The sequence below is a fragment of the Homo sapiens genome, chromosome X, assembly GCF_000001405.40.
Source record: "Homo sapiens chromosome X, GRCh38.p14 Primary Assembly".
Taxonomy (NCBI): Eukaryota; Metazoa; Chordata; class Mammalia; order Primates; family Hominidae; genus Homo; species Homo sapiens.
Genome location: NC_000023.11, coordinates 152,108,370 through 152,108,629, shown reverse-complemented (window position 1 = coordinate 152,108,629; position 260 = coordinate 152,108,370).

The following is a 260-nucleotide window of genomic DNA, read 5'->3' as shown; positions in this document are numbered from 1 at the left end:
GGAAGAACACTTCCAGAAATCCAAATAGAGAGTGCTTCCTATATATGTGTGTATGCATTTGCGTATATACATATTCGTGTATATATACATATATACAAAGATATATGTATATCTTCATGTATACACGTATGTATATGTACAAATATATGTATATATTTATGTATATAAATGTACATTTGTATAAACATATACATATGTGTAAATACATTTGCGTGAATACATATAGTTGCATATATATTTGAGGTGGCTTATGTTGTATA